Source organism: Homo sapiens, chromosome 17 (genome assembly GCF_000001405.40).
Source record: "Homo sapiens chromosome 17, GRCh38.p14 Primary Assembly".
NCBI classification, from domain to species: Eukaryota; Metazoa; Chordata; class Mammalia; order Primates; family Hominidae; genus Homo; species Homo sapiens.
Window position 1 is genome coordinate 53,142,183 of NC_000017.11, and position 1,725 is coordinate 53,143,907.

The 1,725-nt window shown below is 32.7% G+C and overlaps 2 annotated features.

Moving 5' to 3' along the window:
- Positions 329-829: an enhancer, noted in NCBI's record as "NANOG-H3K27ac hESC enhancer chr17:51219872-51220372 (GRCh37/hg19 assembly coordinates)". NCBI's record gives its function as "activates a minimal SCP1, AML or CMV promoter by ChIP-STARR-seq in primed H9 embryonic stem cells {active_cell/tissue: H9 hESC(primed)}" and the evidence as "EXISTENCE:reporter gene assay evidence [ECO:0000049][PMID:30033119]".
- Positions 830-1,330: an enhancer, noted in NCBI's record as "NANOG-H3K27ac hESC enhancer chr17:51220373-51220873 (GRCh37/hg19 assembly coordinates)". NCBI's record gives its function as "activates a minimal SCP1, AML or CMV promoter by ChIP-STARR-seq in naive and primed H9 embryonic stem cells {active_cell/tissue: H9 hESC(naive and primed)}" and the evidence as "EXISTENCE:reporter gene assay evidence [ECO:0000049][PMID:30033119]".

Sequence of the window (1,725 nt, forward strand, 5' to 3'; positions counted from 1 at the left end):
TAATCACCTTCCAATTTATCTTTTATGTTAATGCATATTCACAAATATCTAACTTACCAAAGGATAGTTTTATCTGTATTCTTCCTTTTTAAAATATTTCTTTTCTGAAATTTGAACATGACAGAAAGTATTCTAAATTATTACTGTAAGTCATTTTAGAACCTTCTGTCTTGAAGGTGATACCAAGAATCCCCTTCATAGAAAAGTAGAGGAAAAGCTTAAAGACTGACAAATGGAGTTTTTGGTTTTTAACTAATAAGCATAATTCTTGGCAAAATTGTTGAACTTGGATGAGAAAAATTATCTCATTTCAAAATGAAATTTGGATATGATTATCAAATGCTGAATTTGGCATTGATTTTATTTTGGAAAAGCAAATATATCCATAAAAAAGTTTTCTTGAGATTTACAGAATATTTGTTTTTTATAACATGATAGTAGAAATGTAGTTAATGAGGTTTTAAACATACTATTCGTAACTGATAATGATCTTTAATTTTTACCAGTTACCTCTCCTGCAACAATCTATGCAATTTTATGCATTCTCACCTTGCATTCAACTAGGCTACTCTCAATTTTTCAGGATTCTTTCTTTTATATATTCTGGAGGGGTTTTAGATTTGTTTGACTCCCCAGAAAGTACTAGGTCCTCACTCATGCTTGTGCCTCATTTATTTGCCCTTGGCACTTTGCACATGCCAACATTAGTAAGGTCCCAGCAGGAAGCAGCACACTGCTAATTGGAGAGTTTAGTAAAGCAACCACATACAATGGTGTGGCTATGATTTAAGGAAACTGAAAAGGTACTTTACAATGGCATAACACTAGCTTTAGTGGGCCACCTTTCACCCTGAAGCCCAAAAAGACCATGGGCTGTCTCTAAATCTGTGAGCAGTATAGAGTAAGCCACAGCACAGCCAGTCTGCAGTGACTCAGCAAGAAAGTGACTGTGAGAATAAATACGCTGACTGTAATTGCTGATCGTCCTTTTATCTCCTGCTAGTGACTCCCGTTGAGGCAGTCCATAAAGTTCAGCCTCCCAGGAGAAAGGGTATGATGGAGAGGTTCATGTCTCTTGTGAATTCTCTGCCTCCCCAACCATACTCTAAAATCCTCAAAAACAAAAATAAATCATCCTCCATTTAAGTATTCTAAGCTTTTGCTTTATGCCCAATACACAGACACTAAATAAATGTTTGGTGATGAATATATAAAGAGAAATTTACTTTTATTTTTCAAAGTAATAGAGCTATAATCCAAAATCGGTACAGCAGTTATAAGAATATTACTATTCTTTCTCCTTTTAGGGTGTTCAGGTAAATATTATCTTCTGCGTGAGAAAATCTATAACATTTCCTAAATTTATGGGAGGGACTTTTTGAGTAAAATTACATTATTTAAAATAGTGTTTTATTGAAACAATTGACTGATTCAACATACAAGATATTTGGTTGTTAAATTATATTCATATAATGTTGAAAAGAGAATTCTTTTTTAGGTTTATTAACTCAAAGCTATTATCTTTGATGATGATCTTTCCACTCCTATTGCCTGAATACCAAAAAGCCCCTTGTATATATTACTTGAAAATTACCAACACAATTCCTGATTAGTAATATAAAGTGCTATAATTGCAATTTAATGCTTCTCATTGATTGTTTGTGACTCTGTCTGCAATTATATATTCAATATATTCACATATTCTATGAATTGGAAGAGAAAGAG